At 36.4% G+C, this 2,636-nt stretch overlaps 1 non-coding gene and 1 pseudogene across 1 annotated transcript; both read left to right on the top strand.

The window, feature by feature from the left end:
- HMGB3P13 (high mobility group box 3 pseudogene 13) lies at window positions 1,057-1,987 on the top strand (annotated as a pseudogene).
- Window positions 1,326-1,405, top strand: MIR4788 (microRNA 4788). The gene has a single exon (NR_039951.1). It is a non-coding gene; the product is annotated as a microRNA 4788 (primary transcript).
- Window positions 1,988-2,636: the final 649 nt, after the last annotated feature.

The raw sequence follows: 2,636 nt of genomic DNA on the forward strand, positions 1-2,636 counted from the left end.
GTGAGCCGAGATCGCGCCACTGCACTCCAGCCTGGGCGATAGAGCAAGACTCCGTCTCAAAAAAAAAAAAAAAAAAAAAAAAAAAGAATTATAGTAAGTCTTGAAATCAGACAGGGCAAGTATCCCAAAGTTGTTGTTTATAAAAATTGTTTTAACCATTCTAGGTGTTTTGCAGCTTTATATAAATTTTAGAATCAACTTGTCAAGATTGCATTACATCTACAGATCAATTTGGGGAGAACTGATTTTTGATAATATTGTCTTCCAATTCATGTCTATTTATTTAGATCTTTAATTTCTCTCAGCAATGTTTTGTAGTTTTCCGTGCACAAGTAGTATACCTTTTTGTTGTTAAGTTATCCCTAAATATAGAATTTTTTAATGGTATTGAGAATGGTATCATAAAATTTCTTTTCCATTGTTCTTGACATTATGTAGACATATATTTGATTTTTGTATGTTGAGCTAGTATTCTATGATCTAAAACTTCTTATTTCTAGTAGCATTTTTGTAGACTCAGGATTTTCTATGTACACAGTCATGTCACATGAGAATAAAGATAGTTTTACTTCTTATTTTCAAATCTACATGACACTTATTTCTTACTTTTCTCTTTCACTGGCTAGAATCTCCTGTATAATGTTGGTTAGAATTGGTAAGAACAGATATTATTGCTTTGTCCGTGATTTTAGATTAGAACTCATTCCATCTTTTACCATTGAGTATAAAGCTAGTTTAGGTTTGTCATAGATGCCATTCATCAGCTGAGAAAATTCTCTGCTCCTAGTTTGTTGAGAGTTTTTATGGTGAATAGATGTGGAATTTTGTCAAATGGTTTTGTTTGCATTTTTCATTTGTTTTTTATCTTGAGATGATCATGTAGTTGTTCCCTTTTATTCTGTTAACATGGTGAGTTGTGTTTATGAAGTTTTAAATGTTGAATAACCTTTGCATTCCTGGGATAAACTCTATTTGTTTACAACATGTTATTCCTTTTAAAAATCTTAAGGCATCTCTCGTGGAGGCAGCTAGCTTGAGGCTGGGGAGTGCTGAGCTGCGTGTCATGCCCTGTGCTTGCCCAGACTAGTGAACAATGCAGTCAGGATGGCTAAAGGTGACCCCAAGAAACCAAAGGGCAAGATGTCTGCTTATGCCTTCTTTGTGCAGATGTGCAGAGAAGAACATAAGAAGAAAACCCCAGAGGTCCCTGTCAATTTTGCAGAATTTTCCAGGAAGTGCCCTGAGAAGCGGAAGATAATGTCTGGGAAAGAGAAGTCTAAATTTGATGAAATGGCAAAGGTGGATAAAGTATGCTATGATTGGGAAATGAAGGATTACGGACCAGCTAAGGGAGGCATTAGGATCCTTATTCTTGCCTCCCTTAGTTGGTCCCTAATCCTTCGTTTGGATCCCACTGTCTGGATTCTTCCTGCTCTGTTCCAAATTCTGCCCTAATATCAAATCCACAAACCCTGGTATCTCTATTGGAAATGTCGCAAAAAGGCTGGGTGAGATGTAGATTAACATGTAACAGTGAAAAGCCACCTTACATCACCAAGGCGACAAAGCTGAAGAAGTATGAGAAAGATGTTGCTGACTAAAAGAAAGTTTGATGGTGCAAAGGGTCCTGCTAAGGTTGCCTGGAAAAAACGTGGAAGAGGAAGACAAAGATGACGAGTAGGAAAAAGAGGATGAGAAGGATGAATTTTAAAAACTGTTTATCTGTCTCCATGTGAATACGTTAGAGTAGGGGAGCACCTTAATTAACACATCAAGTGTCTGTTGCCCTCATTAGGTTTAATTACAAAATTTGATCACGATCAGATTGTAGTCTCTCAAAGTGCTCTAGAAATTGTCAGTGGTTTACATGAAATGGCCATCGGTGTCCAGAGCACCCTGAAGCTGTATCAAAATTGTATTTATTTCTAAACATTTTTAAAATGAAAAAATAATCTTGTGTTCTCCTCACTCTGCGCACTTTGCTGTTGGTGTGACAAGGCATTTAAAGATGTTTCTCCCCCGCCCCTTTTTTTTTTTAACTTGTAAAGTGGTGTTAACATATAGTTATTGGCTAGAAATCCTGAGTTATCACTGTATATATCTCTAGTTTGTAAAAAGAACAAAACAATTGAGACAAACTCTTGACACTCCTTGCTTGGCATTGAGGCTGCAGGGGAAGATGCCTTTTGGAGGGGTCGTAGCTCATGCACTGTGAGGTTGGACCTGGTGACTGCAGCAGGCATCCATTTAACTTCAGGTTGTCATGTTTTTGTATATAATGACGTAGCATTCTGCCTCCATTCTTAGCTATAGACAAAGGTGGGTCGGCTGGCATGAGAAGTGTTTTTTTGTTTGTTTGTTTTAGTTAAGTGTGATAGTTTTTAAACTGTTTCTTAAACAAACTGTAGAACTCTTCAGTGTCAGCAAAGGGAAGAGCCACTGCATCAATGAAAGTTCAAAAGCCTTCTGTACTTAAACACGCTTTGCAATGTTGTTTTTTTTTTTTGTATGTTTAGAATGCTGAAATGCTTTTGAAGTTAAATAAACAATATTACAATTTTAAAAATAAAAATAAAATTGGTAGACTCTGCTAATATTTTGTTAGAGATTTTTATGTTATGTTCATGAGGGACATT

Source organism: Homo sapiens, chromosome 3, assembly GCF_000001405.40.
Source record: "Homo sapiens chromosome 3, GRCh38.p14 Primary Assembly".
NCBI lineage: Eukaryota > Metazoa > Chordata > Mammalia > Primates > Hominidae > Homo > Homo sapiens.